Source organism: Homo sapiens, chromosome 1 (genome assembly GCF_000001405.40).
Source record: "Homo sapiens chromosome 1, GRCh38.p14 Primary Assembly".
Classification (NCBI taxonomy): Eukaryota; Metazoa; Chordata; class Mammalia; order Primates; family Hominidae; genus Homo; species Homo sapiens.
In genome coordinates, this window is record NC_000001.11 from 156,071,338 (window position 1) to 156,095,905 (window position 24,568).

The window sequence follows — 24,568 nt, forward strand, 5'->3', positions numbered from 1 at the left end:
GCTCTCTGCCCCCTTTCCATGGAGCATAGGAGATGGCTGTCCAGGTAGCATCTCTGTCACCCTGCCTCACCTTCCCCTGTTCTTTTTTTTTTTTGAGATGGAGTCTCACTCTGTTGCCCAGGCTGGAGTGCAGTGGCGTGATCTCAGCTCACTGCAACTTCCGCCTCCTGGGTTCAAGTGATTTTCCTGCCTCAGCCTCCCGAGTAGCTGGGACTATAGGCATGTGTTACCATGCCTGGCTAATTTTCTGTATTTTTGGTAGAGACAGGGTCTCGCTATGTTGCCCAGGCTGGTCCTGAACTCCTGGCCTTAAGCGGTCCATCCACCTCGGCCTCCCAGAGTTCTGGGATTACAGGCATGAGCCACTGCGCCCAGTCACCTTCCCCTGTTCTTCAGGTCAGGGTGGAACAAGGCCTGACTGCACCTCCAAAGAAGAGAAGGGAGTAAATGGAGAGAAAAGGCAGGGGATTAGAGCTTGGAGACTCAAGCAGAGCTATGGAGAGCTGAAAGGGGGAGCTTAAGGGTGGCAAGGAACTCCAGAGACATCCACTACTCACAGGTGTGTAGGGAGCCCAAAGCTACACTAGAGGAAACCCCAAGCTGCAATCCCCACCCAGATCCTCCCACTCACCCCAAGATGGCACAGACTTACATGCAGAGAACGAAGACAGAGCCTTAAGTAATAGTACTTTTAATAAAATTAAGTTCTTAATAGCACATTTAATACATTAACCCTCCCCCTTCTTGGTTTCTCTGCATTTTGTGCAACATCACTTTGACTTGATTATTCTTGGGTCTGTTTTATTTCCCGCTTTTATTTTGCTTTTGAAATCTTTTTCCTTGGTGGATTTGTACGTGTCTTCACTAGATGCCTCAAATTAAGTCTGACCACAATCCTACTCTACTTTCTACAGTGGAGAGACCATCCTCCCTGCCCCAGGGCTGTCTCCACCCACCCCCCCTTCCCCACCCGCACCCTCGAGTGGGGAAGGGGAAGCCCTCCCCACCCCAGACGCTACCATCCCAAACTAGCGGGGTTTCTAGGACAAAAAGAGCAGGGGGAATCTGTCCCTAGGTGGGGCGAGAAGAGTAAATTGGGTAGAGGGAGATGTGTTTGGGGTCTAGGGCCAGGGAGGGGGATGGCAGAGTCATTGGTGTAATGAAGCAGGCTCCTCCTGCCAAAAGGAGAGCCAAGGGGCCCCTCCAACCCCTTGGATAGGAGGGGAAGGCCCAGTGATTGCAAGCTGGGGTTGGTAGAAGGCAAGTGCTTTAAAAATGTTGATTTCTCACACGCAGAAGCCAAGCCCTCCAGTTTTGTGTGGGGAGGGCAATGTGTTCCCAGGCCAGGGTACAGTAGATGACCCCTACCTGAACACATATAGATGGAGGTGAACTGGAGCAGAGGGTCAGGGTTAGGGTCACCCAAAGTCCCTGTGCCTTTCCCCAGCCTCTGTGCCCATGGGGATGCCTTTCTCCCAGGCCTTCAAGGACAGTGTTTCCACTCCACTCCGTGGGAAGTCCTTCTTGGAATCTAACTTTTATGAGACAAGAAAGCACTTTGCAAGTAGGTGAAGAACGAGTCAGCTTTAAAGAACAATTACTGAGATTGTTACTGCTACTGCTGCCATGGAGGTCAAAGCTAAGTGGAAAGCTGGATGGGAACAGGGGTAGGGGACTGATCGCCTCAGTGCTCTTGAAGCTCTGAAGGTGAGAAGCGTGTGTGCATGTGTGTCTGTTTGTGGAATGACTTCCCAGGCTCTTAAATCAATCTGTAGAGAAGTGGACCGAGGTCACACTTCAAGAAGGACTTCCTCAGTTAGGCCTGGGGGAAGCAGGCATGGGAGGGTTTGAGCTGGGAGCCCCAGGAGGGGACATACCACATTGGAGTATGGGCTGCCCAGGTACTAGGGGTGCAGGTGAATGTGCTTGGCCTCCTCTGCTGCCCCCAACCCAGCCCCTGTCTTATTGAGATGATCAGTGTGCATCCTTTCCAAGACCCTGGGAAATGAACCCCTCATTTCTTTGTCCTACAATTTAAAAATCCAAGGATTCTCAGAATCAACCCCAGCAGACTGGAAGCTCCCAATCTTAAACTAGCAACCTGATCCAACCCTGGTATCTGAAGATTGGGCAACTCAGGGTGGACTCAGCCACTTCCCTCCTCTATTTATCTTTTCCTTACAACTTTTATACATTCTACTGGACCCAGGGGCCCTCAATGCTACTAAACTTTAAGCTATCTTAATATTGTCTACTAAGTAACTAGTAATTGTTTCTTTCTCTCTCTAGGATTATATGAAATAAATTTGAATTATTATTATTAATAATTATTATTTTGTAGTATTCTTTTCTTTTAAACCCCTCGGTTTCTCTTTTTCTTCTCTTTCTCTCTTGTTTTTGGTTAAAAAAAAATCTAGATCTCTTAAATCTCACACATCTCTGAGGGTTCCTATAGGCCTGCTAGGCCTTAATTCTGGATTCCCCCTCCTCACTTGCCCCTGCGACAGGGCAGGGGAAAGTGGTGGGGGACACCCCAGGATCCTCAGTCCTTAGTCCTACAGCTTCTTCCTTTCTTGTTAATCCCTTTCTTTGTTTGGCTCTGCCGGCTCCCCTGAGGGGGAGGGGGAGAGGGGAGGAGGAGTCCATGGAGTGAAATCCAATCTACTGGAAGGGTCCCAGGAGGGACCGGGTTCCCCCAGCTCCTCTCTCCACCATTCACCCCCGGGATGCTCCCCCAAGAAAAGCAAATGACATTCCTCCCCAAAAAAAAAGTGGGGGAAAAAAGCAACGTAAACCCAAACATATATTAAAAACACTTTTTTTTTTTAAGATTTAACTCTGAATACAAATGTATTTTTTTCTTCTTCTCTCCCTACATATATTCTAAACCTTCTAAAGTTTTTTTATTTTTTTAAGGATCACTTTATCATAAAATAAAATATCCTTTTCATATAATAAATTACCTAATAAAAAGTCTTTTTTTTTCATATTAGCCCAGGTTCTTTGCTACATTTATATGGTAATAAACGCCTTTATTAAAATAGAATATTAAATTATAAAGAACTGCTTTTTTTTTTTTTTTTTGCTATTTTTGTTTTCTCTCCTCTGTGTTGGTCGCCTGTCTCGCTCCCTCTCATGCTCTCTTTCTCTCCTCTATTTTGTCTCTCACTATTCGTGTTTTGTGTTTGTTTCTAGGTTTGGCTCAATTGGTAAGGGTGGGATTGAATTTGCTGAGCCCCCTAGTGTAACAGTCTTCTGCCTTTGTGGGTAAAGAGTGGAGAGGGGGAGGGGGACGACAGACAGACATCCCTTCTTCCCACCCCCCTCCCCACCTGCCCCCCGGCAACCGAGGGTGCCCATTTGGTTTGGTTTCTATTGTACAGACATCTCAGGATGGCTCACATAGGCGGGAAGGAGGGAAGTCGTCACAGGGCAGTTTTCTTGGCTGTGACCTCCTTCCCCACCCCTCCCTGGCTGGTGTTCTGGAGGGGAAGGCTGTGGAGAGGTGTTAATTCTCGACAGGAGGAAGGAGAGGAGGAAATCCCCTCTGCACCTCCACCTGCTCCATCCAGGAAGAATGGGACTCTGGAGCTTTAAGTGCTCGGGTGATCACTCAGAACAGTCCCACCCCACTATTTACAAGGATCTCCTGGGACTCCCATCCCTCCATCCTCTCTTGGCCCGGCCAGCGGAACCAGGAGGGTGGAGAGCTGGTGGCAGCCCCAAATGAGCAGGAGGGAAGCAGCAAAGGGGGTGCAAGGCCTGTAACAATATGTGATTCTCAGAATAGGCCCTGCTGCCCACCTCCCCCCAGTCCTGCTTTGCCCCAGGCTGACCCCTCTTTGAAGACCTGGCTTCTCCTCAACCACATCAGGTGGGACACAGACTCCATGATTTGCATGGAGGATTCAAGCTAATAAGGATTCAAGCTAATAAGGATTCAATAAAGGTTCAGGTCAGGTTGAGAGGGGTGCAGGGAGTCGGGCACTGCATGGGAGGAGCAGCTCTTCCCTCCACCAGTCTCTCCTCCTGCCTCACGCCCTTTCCTGCTCCTTTAAATAGCAGACACACTACTCTGGCGCCCCCACTTCCACAACCAGAAAATCCAGCCCAAGAACTACTCCCTAAATATAATGCCCATAGTGATGAAGGTGGGGGTTTGACCCTTTACCCCAGTATTAGTCCCCTCCTCACATTTTCACTGAGAATGGGGATACATTCCATCAATAATTTGAGATGTTTCTTTGGAGGAGTGGGGGAGAGGGCCTCCAGATGCCTGAAGAGGAATGGAGGGACCATCCAAATATTCCTCCCCCTACTTCTCCCCAGAAGGATGGTGTCCCCAAAGCTGGGCTGGTAGGGGCAGGGGCAGGGGGAAGGGAAGAAAGACAAAGACAAGGAACAAGACAGAGCTGGGAGTGACAGCCACCAAAAGAAAGCAAAGCAAAGAGCTGGAGGGAAAGGAAAGAGTTGAGGAAAGGGAAGATCCCAAAGGAAGGGAAGATAGGCGGAGAGAGTGAAGGGAAACACTGCAGGGGACAGGGGCAGAGAGGAGGACTCCTCTCCAGATTCCTCTAGCCCAGCTTTGTGGGGACAGATGGCTTCTGAGCCTTTCAGCCACAGAAACGATTGACATGCTTCTCTCCCCAACCCCTAGAAGATCTATGCAACTTCTGATAGGACTCCAACTCCCTTACACTGCTGGAAACTGGTGACAGTTTCCCAAACAGGATATGGGGGTGGGGTGGGAGGTAAAGGGTCATGTTAGGAGGTCGGAGGTCAGGACCAGAGGGCTTAGGGATTGCAAAGAGCACCTCTAGATACAGGTGGTAATTCTCCCTCTCCCTTTTACCCACCCCCTCCTCGGAAGAAGGGGTGGAGTGACACACAGCGGGGGAGGTGGGCAGAGGGCGTCAGAATGCCTTAGTGGCCACCTCTGGCAAAACAAAAGTTTCTCTTAGCTGCTTCCAGATTTAAGGGTGTGTTGAGGTATCAGAGTTGTAACTCTAGTAAAATTTTCAGTCTGGCCCCCTCCCAATCTTTCCAGGACAGGGTGACCAGAGGCTCTGAAAGTGGCGCACCCTCCAGCCACCACTGCCTCCCTCCCCCCTTCCCCAGCGAGCGAGTATCTCTAAGCACCTTGCCCCTCAAATCACCGCTTTCCAAAAGGCTTTAGTGGAAAACAGGTCCAGGGTGGGCCCAGTGGAGTGGGCCCCGGAGGCATGGGGCACGGGGCTTAGGAGAATATTCGGATGGCTTGCGTGGCTGTGATGTGGCAGACGGGACACTCTGGGTCCGTCCTCTCGCAGATGCGTACTGCACACTCCATGCAGAACAGGTTGTGTCCGCAGGGCACAAGGGCGGCAGTCACTTCGCTCTCAAAGCAGACCATGCAATCCCGCCCGCCGCCGGGGCTCCGCAGGCCGCCCCCACCAAGTTTAGAGAAGCCCTGGAGCGGCTCTCCCGGGGGGCGCCTCGGGAGTCCGGCCAGCTCGGGTCCCGCGGAAGTGGCAGGGGAGCGGTGTGCGCCCGGGGGCCCAGCGCGGGCCTTGGCGGAAGAGGAGGAGGAGGAGGAGGCAGAGGAGAAGAGCACGGAGGTGGGCGTGGCGTTCTCCTGGCCCGCCCACAGCGGGGGGCTAGTCTCGGCCACGCCGTAGTACACATCCTGCTTGCCCACGCCATAGCCCGGAAAGAGGTACCCGCCGTAGCCAAAGTCCCCGCCCTGCTCACCCAGGCGTGGGGCCTCAAAGCCAGAGTCCACTCCGCACTCGCCGATGCAGCCCAGGCTGTTCTGCCGGAAGGTGGAGAGGGGCTTGCAGCCGGGCTGGTGCACCCGCCAGGCGTCGGAGTAGCGGCTATCGATTGCTGCGTCGGGGCTCCCCGCCAGGAAGTCGTTTTCATTGTTGTACTCGAGGATCTTGCCAGTGCGCACCGCGATGTGCGTCTCGATCTCCTCGCGCGCACGCTCCACGTTGCCTGGGGCACCCGTGATCTCGAACACGGGGTCGCGGTCACGGCTTGGTGTGATAATGTATGTGTTGGTTTGCTGCTGGATGCGCTTGATGGTTGCCCCTTTGGGGCCCACCACCAGCCCCACCACGCGGTAGGGCACCCGCACACGGATGGTCACCTGGCCGGGCAGAGCAGGAGCCACACCAAAGGCGGCGCCTGACTTGTTGCGGGAGGCACGGATCATGGAGAAGTGCTCCGCTGCTGAGATGATTTCCCGCCGGGCTGTGGCCACGTCCTCCCGTCGCCCTGTCACCATGAACACTGGTTCCTCGCCCCTCACCGGTGTCTTGATGTAGGTGTTGGTCTTGGCCCTCAAGGCCTTAATCTTGCAGCCTGGGATAGGGCGGGGAAGGAGAGAGACAAAGAAACGCACACAGCAAGGTTTGTGCTGGGACCAATAAATTCCTGATCCTTACCCAAATACCTAGCCTCCCAGGAACACTTCAGTCTACCCTTTGAAATGCCCACTGCTGCACACACAGTCCACCCTGACTTGAAGAAACCATTTATCAGATCTCAGATGTGCCTAATGTCTCTCTCAGCCACAGATTTCAAAATGTACTAACTTTCCCTGAGTTCCATTCAGGGCCCTCCAAATTCATTCACTCCTCAAAACCCCCAAATAATCACTGACCCTCCCATACAAGCTGGTAACTCAAATCCATTCACAAACTACACTCCTTTCTCCCAACATTTGCTCTTCCTTCAATTTCTCTACTGATTCCTGGCTACTCACAAACTTCCAAATCACTTAATCACCCCCCACATCTGTCACTGACCCTGATCTTTCCACAGAACCCCAATGTGCTCAGTAACCTCATAATCTACTCATCTGACCCTTGATCATTAAAAGTGTCCTCCAAACTACCCAGGGACCACTGAAGTCTATCTGCTCTATGACCGCCCCACATGCCTTCCACTCAGTAGTTTCTCTCAGTGGGCCTCAAATTCATAGCGAGTTTGCAGCAACGAGTAGAGTGTAGGGGACTGGGAAAGGTCTGACAATCATAAGTTCAAGGAGGAAAGGAGGAGTATGGAGTTAAACTTCTGTGTGAGGGAACAGTGCCCAACCCCGTGTCACTCTTGTCCCCCTGTCCCCTGGGGGCAAGACAGCTGAGCTGGGCTGGGGCTGAGTACGGTGAGGGAGAGGTATTTTGGACCCACACTCCTGCTTTGAAGTAGAAGTGAGTTAAAGCTGGGAGGTTAGGGAAAGGCAGGAAGAGAAAGAAGAAAAATGAGACAAAGAGAGACAAAGAGGGAGAAGGCTAGAGAGAAAAGTAAGGGCTATTCTGTTTCTAAAAGCTGCCGACCTGGGGGTCTGGACAAGTCCCTCTCCTCCTTACCCACCTTCCTCTTCCCTGCTCCTAGCTTCACACAGAGCTTCCAAGACTCATACCCTTTTGGGAAGCACACGTCACGTGTGTGAGTTCACACACATGTACCTAAGAGGTGTGCCTTTATCTAAATAATACTTATGGGGCCAATCTAATGTACACTTTTATACACCTCTTTCACACACACATCAAGTCCCTGTGTTTCGGCCTTTCATACATCCCACTGTCCATCCCCATCCTCCCCAGCACACAAACAGCACATTCCTATACACACCCGCACCCATGACTTTCACCCCCAATCACATATAGACCCACTCACACCCTTCTCTGAGCACAACTCACTATTCCCCTTCTCTCTCCAACCGAAACCAAGTGGTCCTACTTTTCTGCCTCTGCCCCAACCCTCCAACCTGAGACCTGAGGTGAGCTCATTTTTTCCTCCTTCCTCCACTCCAGATGGCTGCTTCTTCAACGCTGGCAGATTGGGGGGTGAGGGGAAGAGAGTAGGTTGGGGGACCCTCCCTCACTTTTTTTGTTTGTTTTTTTTTGAGATGGAGTCTTGCTCTGTCACCCAGGCTGGAGTGCAGTGGCATAATCTCGGCTCACTGCAACCTCTGCCTCCTGGGTTCAAGCGATTCTCCTGCCTCAGCCTCCCGAGTAGCTGGGATCACAGGCACCTGCCACCACGCCCAGCTAATTTTTTGTATTTTTTAGTAGAGATGGGGTTTCACCACGTTGGCCAGGCTGGTCTTGAACTCCTGACCTCAGGTGATCCACCCGCCTCGGCCTCCCAAAATGCTGGGATTACAGGTGTAAGCCACCACACCCTACACCCTCCCCTCACTTTTAAAAGACCTTAAGAAGGAAAATTTGCTTGTTTCCTCTTGTCTTCAGACCTCTTAGCAGTTATGAAGTCCTACCTGTTGTCCAGCCCACATCCTTGCTGCTTTAATGTCAGTAAATGATTGTTCTATTTTCGAGGTATGGAGGGTCACAAAACAGTGAACTCCCCTCTCCTACCATTTCTACTCACATATCGTTTGATGGGCACCTGGGTTCTGGCCGTAAGTTTTGGGTCCAAAAACTTAAATGAGAGCTAGGTATCTTTAGCGGTTGGGGTTGGGGTGAGGAGGACAGGCCAAGGCATCGAGTAAGAAGAAACGCTAGAGGCCTGGAGGTGCAAAGCTGGTGGTGGGTCTCTTCCTGGGTTCTGCAACCCCAAAGAAGCATCTCTTGAAGGGAAGACCCACTGGGCTTCACCTTCCTAGAGGTCAAACAGAGGAGCACTAACACTGCAGCAGGAGGAGGGAGGTTAGACAAGAGGGAGGACTTCCATATACTTGACTGAGGGGCAGGCTTATCTTTTGTGAATAAAAATCCCCTTACTTTTATGAGGGACAAGCCCATCTGATGCGGAGGCAGAAGAGGAAAGAATGACTCCATTAAATTCCGGGGCCTCCCAAGACCACCCCCACACCCAAGAAAAGATAGCAATGTCCGTCCCCACCCAATTCCAGGGCTTTGGATCCCCAGTTTCTGACAAGAGGAAATCCAACTTTCTAAATCAGAAATCTCAAGAGATGGAGTGCCCCAGGGGGATGAGGGCTGTGCAGGGGAGTGGCATCTTCCCCTCCTCCATTCTGGATCTCTCCGTGAAATCCCCCTAACCCCCAGCACTCCCAGTGGATAAGGTGGGATGTGGAGTAGGGGCCCCCCTGGCCCGCCTCCCCTTTTCCTCTGCCAGAAGCTGGCCTCCTCCCGCACTCCCAGCCGGAATGCAGCTCCTCTATTGTTCCCCACTGTGGGACAGCTCCTCCCCCACCCCACACCTCCCCAGCCCAGCCTCTTTGCAATTTCCAAATCCTGCCCCCCACACTCTCCTTTGAGAAGCCAGGAGAGGGAAGGGTCCCCAAGATCCCGTCTGCTCAATTTGGACCTTCACCAACACCCCCACTCACCCACCCAGGGATGCTGGAGCAGCAGAGGGTGTGGTACCAGACATACTACGCTGGATTAATTCTGCACCCCCTCCCAACACACCCAGACACACGCCCTCCACCAAATTTCCAGGTGAAGGTTTCTTACCCCCCAGCATTCCCCCTCCTACCCTGTCCTACTCTTTCACTACCAGAGACCCCTCTCTAGGCCTCTGGCCCAAGGCCGTGGCCAGCCCAGAACAAAAGCCAGAGAGGGAAGAGGAGAGGTCCAAGCCAGGACGTAGCACTTCCTTGGAGACACCCCTTCCAAAACCCCAGAGACAATCCAACTTTGGGGTGTGGGTGACCACAGGACCCCCTCCTCTCAGCAGCCCCCCTCACCGCCTCTTCCCCAGGCTGGGACCCTCCCCTGGGCCACACCCCCTTCCATTCCTACACTCAGCCCAACAAAGAGACAGATACTCAGTCTGGCTTCGAGGGCCAGGTCTCCCCCAAAGTCTGTAACTCCAGGCGGCTGGGGGCCCCAGGGATGCCCCCTCCCCAGCCTAGGAGCAGATACCAGAGTACAGGCTTCTGAGTAACTCTTTGCACATTCCGTCAGTTTTTCTGGTTAGGAGTGGACACCCCCTCAGGACAGCCTCCCTGGATTGGGAGACCGATCCCCTCCCCTTTCCCTCTTCCAGTGCGAGGATATTTCTTTGTCTAAAGGCAGAGTCCTGGGGGAGGAAGGATCTGGAGAACCGTCCCGACTAGGGGTAACGGGGAACTTTGTGGCACTTTGAAATCAGGGTAGGGGGCGGGTCCCCCTTTGTGGGGAAGGGACAGAGCCGGAGGCGGGCAAGAAGGGAAGAAATGAACTTTCCGCGCTAGGGACGAGGGTGCCCCCACTACAGTCCCTCTCAGTGGTCCCGGCGCCCCGCTTACCTTGCCTGCCCACGATCTCGGCCACGTGCTCGGAGGTGGGCACGGGAACACACTCCGTGGTGTTGCTGCTGCCCTTCAGGCGCAGCTCGGCCTCTTTGTAGAGAGCGCAGAGCTTGGCGTCGCTCGCCCCTTTGGGGGCGGTGGGGGGCTGGGGCGTCTGCGCTGCGGGGGCCGCCGTCGGGGCGGCCGGGGGCGCCGCGGGCGGCGGCGGCGGGGCCGGCTGCGGGGGGGCGGCCGGCTGCGCGGGGGCGCCGCCCCCCCCACCTCCCCCGTCCTCGCCCGCCGTGGGGGCGGGGGGCTCCCCCAAACCCAGGAGGCAGAGTTGATCGAGAGCCAGCTGAAGGGCGCGCTCGTCTTCCAGCAGCCCTCGGTCCTTAGCGCTTCCCCCGAAACATCCTAGTTCTCCAAAGCCCCCATTTCTTTCCATTATTCCAGATACCACTAGACTAGGCATGGCGAAACAAAAGCTGGGGGAGAGAGAGAGGGAGAGAGAGAGAGAGAGGTGGTGGAAGGGAAAAGAGGAGAGAGGAGGGGAGGGGAGAGGAGAGGAGGGGGTGTGTGGGGAGGGGGGAACAAAGAACTGGGGAGGGGGGAAGAAAGCGAGATAGAAAGATAGACCCTCCCCCTAAGCCCCCCTCCCCAAACACCCTGTAACCCGACTCCCCTCGCCCCAGCCCCCGGGGTGGGGGTGGGGGGAAAGAGAAGCAAAACCAAGAAAGCAGATCTCCTCTCCTCTCCGGGGGTGACGGGGGGCGGGGGGCTGCAGGATCTCTGCCCCCACCCCTCCCGCCTCGGACCTGGGAGTCTCTAGCCCCCGCTGTCCAGGCGCCCCCGTTAGGCTCCCGCACCGAGCCCCAGTCCGGGAGCGGCGCTCAGTGGCCCCCAATAGAGCCCAGCCCCTTCCAGCGCTCAAACTCTTTTGTTTTAAATGAACTGGATGGAGCAGCATGAAACTGACGGGAGGGGGGCGCGCCGGGGGCGCCCGGGGCATGCCGGGAGTTGTAGTTTCCCGCCCTTGGGGGCGCGGGGACAAATTCCTTGACCCGAGGAGGATAGGGATGTGGCCTTCGGTCTTTCCTCGCAGCTCCGGGGCAAGCTAGGAGTGGGATGGAAGTCGAGGTCCCTAATTTTTTAAGGGGAGGGTGCGGGGAGAAGGGGTAGTATGCGGAAACAGAGCGGGTATGAAGCTGGCTAACGCCGCGCGCCCCCTCCCAGGACCCGCTCCTGCCCCGCGCCGGCCGGTCCTGGGGGCCCGCTTTTTTATGGAAATGAGGAGGGGGGGCCGGGGCCGGGGGCGGGGAGCCGGGAGCCGTCCCCGCTCGCTCACTGCGGCTTTCTCTCTCGCTCCCCTCTCCCCGCTCCCTGCCGCGCTCACTCTCCGCTTCCCCCTCCCGCTCTCCCAGAGTCGATCCCGGAGCCCGGCCGCGGGGAGAGGTTCTCGGCAGAGAAGACAAAGCCCGCAGCAGCGATGGGGGGAGAGCTGGGCTCTGCGTGTTGTGGGGGCCAGGAAAGGGTGCCAGGCTGGGGCTGGAACCCCCTGGCAAAGGATGGGGTCCCCTCATCCCTAAACAGCAAGCCATCTCCCCTCGCCCGCCCCCCGCCCCCCCAGTCTCGGAGATCTCAGAGGCACCGACTGGGAGGTGAGTTAGTTCACGTCCTTCTGCTCGGTGGAGGGGGTCGGGAGGGCGGTGGAGTGATGAAGTGCAGAGGTTGAAGGAGTGCAGGGACAGAACTGGGGGTCGGACGGAGAGTGGGCAGGCAGGAAAAGTCTTAAAGGCCTGGGGTGACTTAACCGTTTGGGGTGAGGGCCTTGAGCTTTGGATATGACAGGAGGGAGGAGAGACCAGGATGGACTGGGAACCCAGGCTTCCTTCAGGCCTGGGCTGTGAATACAGCTTGGGGTGATCTGTCCTTTAGCACTCATCGTAATTTCCACTCTGTTTCCTCCACCTCTCTCCCATTGAAAACCTATTCAGGGCCGGGCGCGGTGGCTCACGCCTGTAATCCCAGCACTTCGGGAGGCAGAGGCGGGTGGATCACCTGAGGTCAGGAGTTCGAGACCAGCCTGACCAACAAGGTGAAACCTCGTCTCTACTAAAAATACAAAAATTAGCCGAGCATGGTGGCAGACGCCTGTAGTCCCAGCTACTCAGGAGGCTGAGACAGGAGAATTGCTTGAACCCGGGAGGCGGAAGTTGCAGTGAGTCTAGATCGCAGAGTGAGACTCCGTCCCCCCCACAAAAAAACAAAAACAAAACAAACAAACAAAAAAACCCATTCAGTCCCGTTTGACTCCGGAAATTCGGTGAGAATGAAAATAAGTTTTTAAGGCTTGGAGAGTTAGGCACTTTTAGAGTTTCAGGAAGGTGGAGTGTAATGCAATTTTTTCTTCTCCCTTTACCCCATATTTTCTGCATTTATTTTATATCACCCTTTTTATGTCTGGATCTTTCCCAAGGGAAGAAGGGATGGCACTGCAGCTTGAGGGCTCGAGGTCAGACTTGAAGAAGAACTTCCATAAAGAGTTTTATAATAGTGGGTGGGTGAGCCACAGTGGTAAGGTGTCCTTTTCTGGAGTGACTTGAAAAACAAAAATCTGAACTAGTTTGTAAGATAAAGTCCTGCTGAGAGGCAAGGAAACAGATGAATTGACTTCACAGACTTAGCAATGTGGGGCCTTGAGGGCTGAGCTGTTTAGTCCAGTTCCCTAAACTGTTTCTTGGAAAGAGTGAATTTGCACACTAATGGGAGTGCTGGAACCTGAGCTGAGGATCTCAGAAGGTCGGGGGGTGGTGGGGGCAGTTGGCACACTGCAGGGATTTTTTTCCTTTGCTAGGCAGAAGATCCAGGGAAGGAGAACCTTGACTGAGGAACCCGGGAGGGTCCTGGAGTTGGGGAAGTTTGCCCCCTGGACTGGGGATTTAACATAAGATCAACAGTAAACCTTATTGTGGGATTTGATGCTACTGCCACCAAGCAAGAGTGAAAGAGGAAGAATTAGAGAGACAGGGCCCTGGAGAGTGGGCTATTTCTGCCTCTTGTCCCCTCCGTCTGCCCCAGGAACCTGGATTGCAGAGACTGTGGTACTGGGGACCATGGGGTCTCTTTGGGAGAAAGTTTTTGCTTTGTGGACCAGGTGACTATCTTTCACATAAATAGAAATAGCAAACAGTTGCATAGGTCTTATTGTGTGCTAGGCATTTTTGTGGGGCCACCAGCTGGCTGAGCCTTCCTGTCCCCACTGAAATGAGATTCCCCCCAGACTCCCACCCTGAACTTGCGCTGCCTCTGCTTTCCTCCTCACTAAGCTAATTAAGGCAGGAGGTTAATGACCAAAGAAGCCTTGGGGATTTGGCCAGGGAGGAAAACAAAGGGCAGAAACAAGTATGTGTCAGTGGGGAGGGTCCAGCTGCTGAATGGGGAAGGGGCTGGCTGAAAGGTGGGGTGGGCGAGGCAGGGTCCCTACTGGACCCACTTCGTCCCTGACCCACCAACAAGAATGAATCAGCCCTCTGGGTAAGTTAATGTCCACCCTCAGGGTCCCACTGGGACTCCAGACAAATTTCCTTCACAGCAGATGTGAGCCTGGCACCTGGAGGGCAAAGGATATGTGTGCGAATGCAGTTAGGTGTGTGGCATGGTGTACATGTGAGAGTGTGTGCTGCAGATCATGTAGGAGAGTGCCCAGGTGCAGAGGAGGCCCAGGGTGGGCACCTTGAGGAGCTGGATTCTCAGAGTGTTTTTTACGAATCCTTCGCTCTCTCCCGGAGGCTGGTGGCCTCCTTTGTTCAGGAGACCCCCTCCCTCAACTGAGAAGGTAGATTTCTGTATACAGGCTCTCCTTTTCCCTGCTTGCCTGATCCAGAATTATGGCAATGAGAGCAGAAGGTCTTACTTAAACAATACTCCCCACTCTCTGCCTTATGACCAGAAAGGTGTAGAGGTGGCATACTTCTCCCTTTCAGGACTTTGGAGGACAGCACTATGTCTCTCATCTTCATCATGGTCCCCAACCCTAGCTGCCCAGAACCTAGCATGCAGCCCTGCCCAGAGCAGAGGCTCAATAGGGGTATGTTGAGTGTAACTGCATTTTTAAAACTTCATGGTGTCAGGAGGAAAGAGCAGGTCTCCAAAGATAAACATGCTGCTTATTCTGCCACTTTGGGGAGTCATTTATTGCTAAGCCTCAGTTTCCTTATCTCTCAAATGGAAATAATAAGCCAAGGTCTGGCAGGGCATGGTGGCTCGTTCCTGTAATCCCAGCACTTTGGGAGGCCAAGGTGGGTGAATCACTTGAGGCCACGAGTTCCAGACCAGCCTGGGCAACATGGCAAAACCCTGTCTCTACTAAAAATACAAAAATTAGCTGGGCATGGTGGTGCACACCTGTAATCGCAGCTACTTGGGAGGCTGAGGCATGAGAGTTGCTTGAACCAGGAAGCAGAGGTTGCAGCCAAGATTGTGCCATTGCACTCCAGCCTGGGCAACAGAGGGAGACTCCGTCTCAAAAAATAAAATAAAATAAGCCAAGGTCCTAACACAGTGCCTGGCTATCTTAGGTGTTCAATCAGTTTTAGTTTCCTGGCCCTGGTTGTTCTCCCCTTGTGGTTGACTTTAGCCAGATTGTGGTCTTCATGAATTTTCATTCATTCGTTCATTCATTCAGCCAGCCACTTCCTATTGAGCTCCTGGGATGTGCCAGGCACTGGAGGAGATTTATTCTGACCCATCATAGGTCACTTGAAGTCACTTCTAGGTCTAGACTCGCTGAAATAAGGTCATTCTAAACAAACAGCAAATAATTCTAAAAATAATTCCTGTTAAGCCCTGGAATGCAGGTGACCTCTGACTCTCTCTCTCTCTCTCTCTCTCTCTCTCTCTTTTGTCTTTCTTACACAAGCCAGGCTTCTGGCCTCATGCCTGGGGAACAAAGGACCCTGTTGAGTTGTTTAGTACATACACACACACAAGCCAGGCTGCAGGGCAGGAAAGGTGACACAGTGGAGAGTCCAGGATTCTTGTGGAGGTTGGGGGAGGAGTGGGGTGGATGATCCAGACTGTGTGCTTGTCTGTGTCTGGAGTTGTATCCCTTCTTCTTCCTTTTTTTTCCTTTTGAGACAGAGTCTCGCTCTGTTGCCAGGCTGGAGTGCAGTGGCACGATCTTGGCCCACTGCAACCTCCGCCTCCTGGGTTCAAGCTATTCTCCTGCCTCAGCCTCCTGAGTAGCTGGCATTACAGCATGCACCACCACTCCTGGCTAATTCTTGTACTTTTAGTAGAGACGGGGTTTCACCATCTTGACCAGGCTGGTCTCAAACTCCTGACCTCAGGTGATCCGCCCCCACCTTGGCCTCCCAAAGTACTGGGATTACAGGCGTGAGCCACCGCGCCCGGCCAGGAATTATATCCCTTCTTTCCTCTGAGCACTTCTGGGCACCTGTTATCACTGTCTGAACACTCAGTACCAAGGGATGGGGGTGCACACCTAACACTTGCCCCTCCTTAGCCCTATTCTCAGAACCCTGAGGGAGGGAGACACAGGAGGCTGCCACCAAGGCTGCCTTACCAAGCAGACTGGCCCTTAAAGAGGTCATCTCCCCCATCTTCATACTTCTCTCAGGATGCCTTCTCTATCTGTCCTAGTTAGCTGAGCCTTCTCTCCCATGTATAATGAGATTTTCCCATTTTCTTTTCTTTCCTTTTTTTTTTTTTGTGGGGGGACAGAGTCTTGCTCTGTCACCCAGGCTGGAGTGCAGTGGCGCCATCTCGGCTCACTGCAACCTCCGCCTCCCAGGTTCAAGCAGTTCTCTGCCTCAGCCTCCTGAGTAGCTGGGATTACAGATGCCTGCCACCACGCCCGGCTAATTTTTGTATTTTTAGTAGAGACAGGGTTTCATCATGTTGCCCAGGCTGATCTTGAGCTCCTGACCTTGTGATCCACCCACCTCAGCCTCCCAAAGTGCTGGAATTACAGTCGTGAGCCATCGCGCCCGGCTCCCATTTTCTTTTCTTTTCTTTTCTTTTTTTGAGACAAGGTCTTGCTCTGTCACCCAGACTGGAATGCAGTGGCTTGATCATGGCTCACTGAAGCCTTGATCTCCCAGGATAAAGTGATCCTCCCACCTCAGCCTCTCCAATAGCTGAACCACAGGCACATGCTGCCATACCCAGCCAATTTTTAAATTTTTTGTAGAGATGAGATCTCGCTATGTTGCCCAGTCTGGTCTTGAACTCCTGGCCTCAGGTGATCCTCCCACTTCAGCCTCCCAAAGTGCTGCGATTATAGGAATGAGCCACCATGCCCAGCCTTTCTTTCCTTTTTTTTCTTTCTTTCTTTTTTTTTTTTGAGATGGTGTCTCGCTCGGTCACCAGGCTGGGGCGCAGTGGCACCATCTCAGCTCACTGCAACCTCCGCCTCCTGGGTTCAAGTGATTCTCCTGCCTCAGCCTCCTGAGTAGCTGGGACTACAGGCGCGCACCACCACACCCAGCTAATTTTTGTATTTTTAGTAGAGACAGGGTTTCAACATGTTGGCCAGGATGGTCTGTATCTCTTGACCTCGTGATCCGCCCGCCTCGGCCTCCCAAAGTGCTGGGATTACAGGTGTGAGCCACCAGCCCGGCCCCAGCCTTTTTTTCCTTAATAACCCTTTCTTGTGGGAAGTCTGTGTTGCTATCTAACCACCGTCCTTTCTGCTAAGAGTCCAGACAGTTTTCTCTCCTTTGATAGAATGCACTCAACACATTAATTAATTTAATTTAATTTTTTTGTTTTCTTTTTTTTAACCTTATACCAGCAGTCCAAACCTCACTAGCATTAATTAATTTTAATCAATGAGAATATGGAATAAAATTCTGTAGGCCACACAAAAGAAATGTGAGACTTGATCCCCACCCTCGGTAAGACACAGAAACTGGCCTGCATGACCCAGAGAACATGGGTAAGCAGGATTAAATGTAAGGACAAAATGGTCTTTGGGGTAGAGCACGGTGGCTCCTGCCTATAATCCCAGCACCTTGGGGCCAAGGTGGAAGGATTGCTTGAGCCCAGGAGTTTGAGACCAGCTTGGGCAACAAAGTGAGACCTCATCTAATTTATTTTTATTTTATTTTATATATTTTTTGAGACGGAGTCTCGCTCTGTTGCCCAGGCTGGAGTGCAGTAGCACAATCTCAGCTCACTGGAGCCTCTGCCTCCTGGATTCAAGCAATTCTCCTGCCTCAGCCTCCCAAGTAGCTGGGATTACAGGCATGTGCCACCACAACTGGCTACTTGTTTTTGTTATTTTTAGTAGAGATGGGGTTTCACCGTGTTAGCCAGGATGGTCTCAATCTCCTGACCTCATGATCCACCTGCCTCAGTCTCCCAAAGTGCTGATATTATAGGCGTGAGCCACCGCACCCAGCCTATTTTATTTTATTGATTAATTTATTTGTTTGTTTGTTTATTTTGAGCCAGGGTCTTGCTCTGTCGTCCAGGCTATAATACTGCGGCATGATCTTGACTCACTGAAACTTCGAACTCCCAGGCTCAAGTGAGCCTCCCACCTCAGCTTCCTGAGTTGTTTGGTCTACAGGCATGCGCACCCTGCCTGGCTAATTTTTGTATTTTTTGTAGAGATGGGGTTTTGCCATGTTGGCCAGGCTGGTGTCAAACTCCTGAGCTCAAGTGATCCGCCTACCTCAGCCTCTCAAAGTGCTGGGATTGCAGGCATGTACCACCATACCCAACCCTTGTTTATTTATTTATTTATTTATTTATTTATTTTTGAGATGAAGTCTTGCTCTGTTGCTCAGGCTGGAATGCAGTGGTGTGATCTTGGCTCACTGCAACCTCTGACTCCTGGGTTCAAGCGATTCTCCTGCCTCAGCCTCCTGAGTACCTGGGATTACAGGCGCGCACCCCCACGCCCAGCTAATTTTTGTATTTTTAGTAGAGACGGGGTTTTACCATGTTGGTCAGGCTGGTCTCGAACTCCTGACTTCATGATCTGCCCGCCTTGGCCTCCATTGCACTCCAGCCTGGGCAGCAAGAGCCAAACTCCGTCTAAAAAAAAAAAAGAAAGAAAGAAAGAAAGAAAGGTCTTTGGGACTCGGAGGGCTACAGAGGTTGGGGGAGAGAGGTCACTGTGAGTCCTTCTGTTGTTGTGGATCTGATCTCCAAGGGCTTTGCAGGCTCAGCCTAGGTTTGGAGATGGACAAACGTCTCTGCTTCTCCCCTGGGACTACACTGGCACTTCCTCTGCCAGGTCCCCTGCATTGTCTGATTTCCCCAGGGAGAGTAGCTCAGAGGGGCTGGGGTGGAGTCTGGGCCCCTTAGGACAGCTGGTTGATGAGGCCCCTCTGGGACTTAGGGCTGGACCCAGGCGTCCAGGAGGCGGGTGATACTGGAGCTGTGACAGTTGGTCCCCAGATTCCACACCCAGTGGCGCCAGCTCTGGTTTCGAGCTGCGGTGAGGGAGGGGGAGGGGCACCTGGTGCCAGCCAGGGGCTGGATGCTGTCTTGGGGCAGGGAGGGGGAGGCAGTAAACATGTCCTTCCTAGGTTGTTGAGGATTTTCTAATTGCCCTCTCTGTGCCAGGCACTGTGCAAGGTACTAACGAGATTCTGCAATGCAAGATGCAGTCTGGCACAGATGAATTGACAGCATACAGTATAGAATTAGAATGTCAGAGCTGGACTAGAAGTTGAATGAATGAATGAGTAGGGGAATGAGTGAATGAATAGTTCATCAGTTACCTAATGCACTCATTTTACAGAGGAGACTGAGGCCCAGAGAACCCGAGTCCTGTGACTCCCTTCTGCTTTCTGATCTGTCATGCTTCCTTTTTCAGGAAAGGGAAGCAAAAGGCAGAGAGAGGGGTGGGAAGGGACTTGACGTTTCCTGAGTGCATGTTTGGTGCCAGGCTCTGTTCTGGTCTTTTCAGACTTGATGTAATTGTCTTCACAATTCTGTGAAGATGGACTTGGTGTCTCTGCTTCACATGAAGGGACCTGAGGTTCAGAGAGGCTAAGTAACTTTCCTAGGTCACAGAGCTGGTAAGTAGAGACTTTAGTGTTCAAAACCAGAGCAGTCTGACCCCAGAGCCTGGGACCCCAGAGGTAGACAGTGATACTCAGTGAGTGCTTGGAGCCCACAGAGGGTGGAGGGAGTGGTTCCTGGATGAAGTAGATCTGAAGGGTGGGTGAGGTTCATTTGAAAGGCGAGAATTGGAGGCATGTCTGGAAGTTGGTGCTGGAGGTGCCCAGGGAGACTTGCTGGTTGAGCAGGTGGCCGGCTTGCATGGATCTTGGGGAGCAGGGGACAGGTTCAAAGAAACACATCTTTAAACATTGGCCACCAGGTGGCGCCGCAGGCCAATTCCTAGAAGCGGCTCCAGCCTCAGCGCCCTCACTAGGGCCCAGGTATGACTTCGCTGCTCAGCCAGGGCTCCATGCTCGGCTTGCTTCCTCAGGTGTCATCTCCAGCTTCCGCTTGCCCCTGGCTTCTGGCATCCAACACATGGGGGATAATGATGCTACCAGTCGTTTCCTGACTCGGGACGAACACCCAGGTAGCTGAGACCTGGGAATCCCCGTGGGTCTGAGCAGCTCCCCCGGTCACCCGGAGACCCCTCCAGTCGCCTAAACCTGGCTTCATGTCCAGCGCCCTTCTGAGTTTCTGGGAGACACTGTTCAGAGGACAGGCTGAGGAAACAGGCATTTGAGTCCAACTGACCTGGGTCTGAAGGGAAATAATAATATCTACCTTGTAAGGATTTAAAACATTTCATCTATGGCCAGGTGCGGTGGCTCACCCCTGTAATCCCAGCACTTTGGGAGGCCGAGGCGGGCAGATCACCTGAGGTGGGGAGTTCGAGACCAGCCTGACCAACATGGAGAAACCCGGTCTCTACTAAAAATACAAAATTAGCCGGGCATGGTGGCGCATACCTGTAATCCCAGCTACTCAGGAGGCTGAGGCAGGAGAATCTCTTGAACCTGGGAGACAGAGGTTGCGGTAAGCCAAGATCGCGCCACTGCACTCCAGCCTGGGCAATAACAGCAAAACTCCGTCTCAAAAACAAACAAACAAACAAACAAACCTTTCATCCAATAAATATCTATCAAATACATGCTGTGTCAGGAACTATTCTAGGCCCTGAATACATCAGAGAACAAGATAGACAAGGTCCCTACTTGCACGGAGCTGATACTCTACTGGGGAGGAAGGCAGACAGTAGTCAAGTAGATAATGTACTTTCTGGTAGTGATCATCACTGCAAAGAAAGATAAGCCAGGATATGGGGGCAGAAAGGTTTGAGGTGGCTAATTTAGAAAGGATGGTCATGCTATCTGGCCAGGACAACATAGTGAGACCCCATCTCTACAAAAAAAAATTTTTTTTTTTTGAGATGGAGTTTTGCTCTTGTTGCCCAGGCTGGAGTGCAGTGGCATGATTTTGGCTCACTGCAACCTCCGCCTCCTGGGTTCAAGCCATTCTCCTGCCTCGGCCTCCCTAGTAGCTGGGATTACAGGTATGCATCACCACACCGGGCAAATTTTTGTATTTTTAGTAGAGATGGGGTTTCGCCATCTTGGTCAGACTGGTCTCAAACTCCTGACCTCAGGTAATCCACTCACCTTGGCCTCCCAAAGTGCTGGGATTACAGGCGTGAGCCACAGTGCCCAGCCAAAAAAAATTTTTTTTAATTAGCCAGGTGTGGTGAGTTGCTCTTGTAGTCTTAGCTACTTAGGAGGCTGAGATAGGAGGAGCACTTGAGTTCAAGGTTACAGTGAGCTGTGATCGTGCCACTGCACTCCAGATTGGGTGACAGAGCGAGATCCCATCACTATTCAAAAATTTACAAAAAGGCTGGGCACAGTGGCTCCTGTCTGTAATCCAAGCACTTTGGGAGGCCGAGGCAGGTGGATCACTTGAGGTCGGGAGTTTGAGACCAGCCTGGGCAATATGGCAAAACCCCGTCTCTACAAAAAATACAAAAATTAGCTGGGCGTGGTGGTGGGTACCTGTAATCCCAGCTACTTGGGAGGCTGAGGCAGGAGAATTGCTTGAAGTTGAGAGGTGGAGGTTGCAGTAAGCTGTGATTGCACCACTGCACTCCGGCTCTAGACAACAGAGCGAGACTCCATCTCAAAAAAAAAAAAAAAATGTGATCATGAAATGCCCCTGATAAAAGCACCATCTTAGTTCCCCGTTGCCATCAGATTCACACTCCTTAGTGTGGTGATGATGTCCCTCTTGTCCTGGCCAGCTCCTGCCCACCTCTCCAGCCCATCCTGCTCCTCCTTCCCTTACTCCAGCCACATGGACTTTCTCCTTTCTTTCTTTTCTTTTCTTTTTTTCTTTTTTTTTTTTTTTTGAGACAGAGGAGTCTTGCTGTGTTTATGCTGGAGTGCAGTGGTGCGATCTCGGCTCACTGCAACTTCCGCCTCCTGGGTTCAAGCAATTCTCCTGCCTCAGCCTCCCAAGTAGCTAGGATTACAGATGCCTGCCACCACGCTCAGCTAATTTTTTGTATTTTTTGTAGAGACAGTGTTTCACCATGTTGGCCAGGCTGGTTCGAACTCCTGACTTCAGGTGATCTGCCCACCTTGGCCCCCCCAAAGTGCTGGGATTACAGGTGTGAGCCACCACTCCCAGCCCACATGGACTTTCTTTCAGGGCTTTGGCCTGTGCTATCATCATCTGCTATTCCCTGACCCTTCACCTGGCTAATGTTTGTTCATCTTGCAGGACTCAATTTATATGTCAATTTTTTTTTTTTTTTTTTTTTTTTTTAGATAGGTTCTGGCTCTGTCACCCAGGCTAGAGTGCAGTGGCACGATCTTGGCTTACTGCACCCTCTGCCTCCTGGCTCAAGCCATCCTCTCACCTCAGCCTCCCAAGTAGCTGGGATTACAGGCGTGCGCCACCATGCTCAGCTAATTTTTGTAATTTTTTTAGAGACAGGGTTTCACCATATTGCCCAGGCTGATCTCAAACTCCTGAACTCAAGTGATCTGCCCGCCTTGGCCTCCCAAAGTGCTGGGATTACTGGTGTGAGCCACTGCGTCCAACTACATGTCACTTTTTCCTAGAAATCTCCCCTGGTCACTTCTGGATATCCCTTACAATTCATCATGCTCTATTGTAACTGTATGTTTACACTTCTGTTTCCCCAGTACACGGGAAGCTCTTTGAGAACAGGGATTGGATCTAGTCTACTCCTGTATTCTCAGCACCCAGCACAAAGTAGGTGCTTAATAAATGTTTGCTGTTCGGAAATTGTGTATGCTCATCCATCCTTCCCTCTTGAACACCCTCTCACCCATATATTGCCAAATATTCCACTTCTCCCTCTGCTTTTCTGGCATACCTTTCACTCCCACATCCAGCTCCATCTCTCCTCTCCCCTTCCATCCCCACTCCTACACCTGGGCCCTCGCAGCCTGCCCTCATCTGATCTCCAAGGGGCTACTGTCTGCATGAGGTTTAGTATATCCTGTCACTGGGTTCCTCCACTCTCCAGCACCTGGTCTGGGGCCGTACACAGCAGGAACTCCATAGTGTTGCTAACTCACTGACATGACTTGGTGGATGGCTCAGAAGGGATCCCTAAGCATGCATACACCTCCTCTCAGTCACCGCTAGTAAAATGAGTCTATCACGAGAAGTATACATGGGTCACATGCTCCTGGCCAGGCCCTGTCTATCCTCTAGGGCTTTGCACACACTGTTCCCTCTGCCTCGAACCCTCTCTCTCATTTTGGCTATCTCCCACTCATCCTTCAGACCTGAGCTGAAGTGGAGGAGTCATGTCTTCTCTTTTTTTGAGACAGTCTTGCTGTGTCACCCAGGCTGGAGTGCAGTGGTGCAGTCTTGGCTCACTGCAACCTCTGCCTCCCGGGTTCAAGTGATTCTTCTGCCTCAGCCTCCCGAGTAGCTGGGACTACAGAGGCGTGCCACCATGCCTGGCTAATTTTTGTATTTTTAGTAGAGACAGGGTTTTACCATATTGGCCAGGGCTTTGGCCTGTGCTATCTCAAACTCCTGACCTCGTGATCTGCCCACCTTGGCCTCCCAAAGTGCTGGGATTACAGGCGTGAGCCACCGCACCTGGCCAAGGAGGAGTTGTGTCTTCTGAGAGGCCTTCCTGACCATGCTGATGGTCTTACATATACCCCCAAGTCTGCTGTGGCACTCAGTATTTACCCATTTGTTAGCACTTAGCTCCTAGTGCTTTCTTTTTTTTTGATGGGGTCTTGTGCTGTCACCCAGGCTGGAGTGCAGTGGCATGATCTCGGCTCACTGCAACCTCCGCCTCCTGGGTTCAAGTGATTCTCCTGCCTCAGCCTCCCAAGTAGCTGAGATTACAGGCGTTTGTCACCACAACCAGCTAATTTTTTTTTTTTTTTTTGAGAACGGAGTCTTGCTCTGTCGCCCAGGCTGGAGTACAGTGGCGTGCACTCACTGCAACTTCCGCCTTGCTGGTTCAAGTGATTCTCCTGCCTCAGCCTCCCAAGTAGCTGGGACTACAGGCGCACGCCACCATGCCCGGCTACCGGCTAATTTTTGTATTTTTATTAGAGATGTGGTTGCACCATGTTGGCCAGGCTGGTCTTGAACTCCTGACCTCAGGTGATCTGTCCTCCTCAGCCTCCCAAAGTGATGGGATTACAGGCGTTAGCCACTGCACCCGGCCAACTCCCAGTGCTTTCAAAGCCAGTTTGTGTGTTCATGTTACTCGGACTGATCGCTCTCCATGAATAAGGGATGTGTCTCTCCAAAACCTAGCATATAGGAGGCATTCAATAAAAATTTATTGAGTAAATGATTGATTGAATGAATGAAAGGAATAAAATGACCATGTGATACTGAATGAGTCACTCCCCATCTCAGTTTCCTCTTCTCAAGTGATTCTCCTGCCTTAGCCTCCTGAGTAGCTAGGATTACAGGCACCTGCCACCACACCCAGCTAATGCTTTTTTTTTTTTTCTTTTTTGTATTTTTAGTAGAGACGGGGTTTCACCAGGTTGGGCAGGCTGGTCTCGAACTCCTGACCTCAGGTGATCCACCCGCCTCGGCCTCTCAAAGTGCTGGGATTACAGGCGTGAGCCACTGCGCCCGGTGTCCAAGACACTTCTAACGCCAACATCCTTGTACTAGGCCCTCTTCCAGCTCCCCCAGGAGTCTGGGGGTTAGAGGTCAGGCTGCTCCCCACTCTATTACCTCCCCACACTTCTAATTAATTCTTGTGTTCAGTCCCAGAACCTGGAGAGTTACACTCAGGCTGCCTGGTCCTGCTTATTGCCCATATCCTAGAGGCACTTGCATGCCCTTCCAGGCGGGTAACTGTACATGTCTCTCCCAGGCAGCCTT

At 52.3% G+C, this 24,568-nt stretch overlaps 2 protein-coding genes across 5 annotated transcripts in view, besides 11 other annotated features; one reads left to right on the plus strand and one right to left on the minus strand.

Moving 5' to 3' along the window:
- Positions 1–675: 675 nt before the first annotated feature.
- Positions 676–11,128, minus strand: MEX3A (mex-3 RNA binding family member A). Its single transcript, NM_001093725.2, has 2 exons — positions 10,208–11,128; positions 676–6,345 (listed from the first exon to the last, which is right to left on the minus strand). The coding sequence occupies exons 1-2, from the start codon at positions 10,659–10,661 to the stop codon at positions 5,237–5,239; spliced, it is 1,563 nt and encodes a 520-aa protein (NP_001087194.1). The 5' UTR covers positions 10,662–11,128; the 3' UTR covers positions 676–5,236.
- Positions 4,854–5,761: an enhancer, noted in NCBI's record as "H3K27ac-H3K4me1 hESC enhancer chr1:156045982-156046889 (GRCh37/hg19 assembly coordinates)". NCBI's record gives its function as "activates a minimal SCP1, AML or CMV promoter by ChIP-STARR-seq in naive H9 embryonic stem cells {active_cell/tissue: H9 hESC(naive)}" and the evidence as "EXISTENCE:reporter gene assay evidence [ECO:0000049][PMID:30033119]".
- Positions 4,854–6,668: a biological region, named in NCBI's record as "H3K27ac-H3K4me1 hESC enhancers GRCh37_chr1:156045982-156046889 and GRCh37_chr1:156046890-156047796".
- Positions 5,397–5,576: a silencer, noted in NCBI's record as "silent region_1418". NCBI's record gives its function as "represses an Ori minimal core promoter by ATAC-STARR-seq in GM12878 lymphoblastoid cells {active_cell/tissue: GM12878}" and the evidence as "EXISTENCE:reporter gene assay evidence [ECO:0000049][PMID:35858748]".
- Positions 5,721–6,015: a silencer, noted in NCBI's record as "tiled region #8324; HepG2 Repressive non-DNase unmatched - State 15:Elon, and K562 Repressive non-DNase unmatched - State 7:EnhWF". NCBI's record gives its function as "represses a minimal TATA promoter and a strong SV40 promoter by Sharpr-MPRA in HepG2 and K562 cells {active_cell/tissue: HepG2 | K562}" and the evidence as "EXISTENCE:reporter gene assay evidence [ECO:0000049][PMID:27701403]".
- Positions 5,762–6,668: an enhancer, noted in NCBI's record as "H3K27ac-H3K4me1 hESC enhancer chr1:156046890-156047796 (GRCh37/hg19 assembly coordinates)". NCBI's record gives its function as "activates a minimal SCP1, AML or CMV promoter by ChIP-STARR-seq in naive H9 embryonic stem cells {active_cell/tissue: H9 hESC(naive)}" and the evidence as "EXISTENCE:reporter gene assay evidence [ECO:0000049][PMID:30033119]".
- Positions 10,116–10,928: an enhancer, noted in NCBI's record as "H3K27ac hESC enhancer chr1:156051244-156052056 (GRCh37/hg19 assembly coordinates)". NCBI's record gives its function as "activates a minimal SCP1, AML or CMV promoter by ChIP-STARR-seq in naive H9 embryonic stem cells {active_cell/tissue: H9 hESC(naive)}" and the evidence as "EXISTENCE:reporter gene assay evidence [ECO:0000049][PMID:30033119]".
- Positions 10,929–11,742: an enhancer, noted in NCBI's record as "H3K27ac hESC enhancer chr1:156052057-156052870 (GRCh37/hg19 assembly coordinates)". NCBI's record gives its function as "activates a minimal SCP1, AML or CMV promoter by ChIP-STARR-seq in naive H9 embryonic stem cells {active_cell/tissue: H9 hESC(naive)}" and the evidence as "EXISTENCE:reporter gene assay evidence [ECO:0000049][PMID:30033119]".
- Positions 10,937–11,146: a silencer, noted in NCBI's record as "silent region_1419". NCBI's record gives its function as "represses an Ori minimal core promoter by ATAC-STARR-seq in GM12878 lymphoblastoid cells {active_cell/tissue: GM12878}" and the evidence as "EXISTENCE:reporter gene assay evidence [ECO:0000049][PMID:35858748]".
- LMNA (lamin A/C) overlaps positions 11,236–24,568 on the plus strand; it is a 57,509-nt gene continuing 44,176 nt past the window's right edge. For 2 of the 4 annotated variants that reach the window (NM_001406983.1, NM_001406984.1), the window contains exons 1-2: positions 11,236–11,326; positions 11,611–11,847. The gene's annotated coding sequence lies outside the window, so the exon portion shown is untranslated. Of the gene's footprint in view, positions 11,327–11,543; positions 11,848–19,133; positions 19,246–24,568 lie in introns of those variants that run through there. The other 2 variants (NM_001282625.2, NM_001407002.1) reach the window with 2 other exon arrangements.
- Positions 15,063–15,897: an enhancer, noted in NCBI's record as "H3K27ac hESC enhancer chr1:156056191-156057025 (GRCh37/hg19 assembly coordinates)". NCBI's record gives its function as "activates a minimal SCP1, AML or CMV promoter by ChIP-STARR-seq in primed H9 embryonic stem cells {active_cell/tissue: H9 hESC(primed)}" and the evidence as "EXISTENCE:reporter gene assay evidence [ECO:0000049][PMID:30033119]".
- Positions 19,381–19,675: an enhancer, noted in NCBI's record as "tiled region #15377; K562 Activating DNase unmatched - State 12:CtcfO". NCBI's record gives its function as "activates a minimal TATA promoter and a strong SV40 promoter by Sharpr-MPRA in K562 cells {active_cell/tissue: K562}" and the evidence as "EXISTENCE:reporter gene assay evidence [ECO:0000049][PMID:27701403]".
- Positions 19,431–19,490: an enhancer, noted in NCBI's record as "active region_1837". NCBI's record gives its function as "activates an Ori minimal core promoter by ATAC-STARR-seq in GM12878 lymphoblastoid cells {active_cell/tissue: GM12878}" and the evidence as "EXISTENCE:reporter gene assay evidence [ECO:0000049][PMID:35858748]".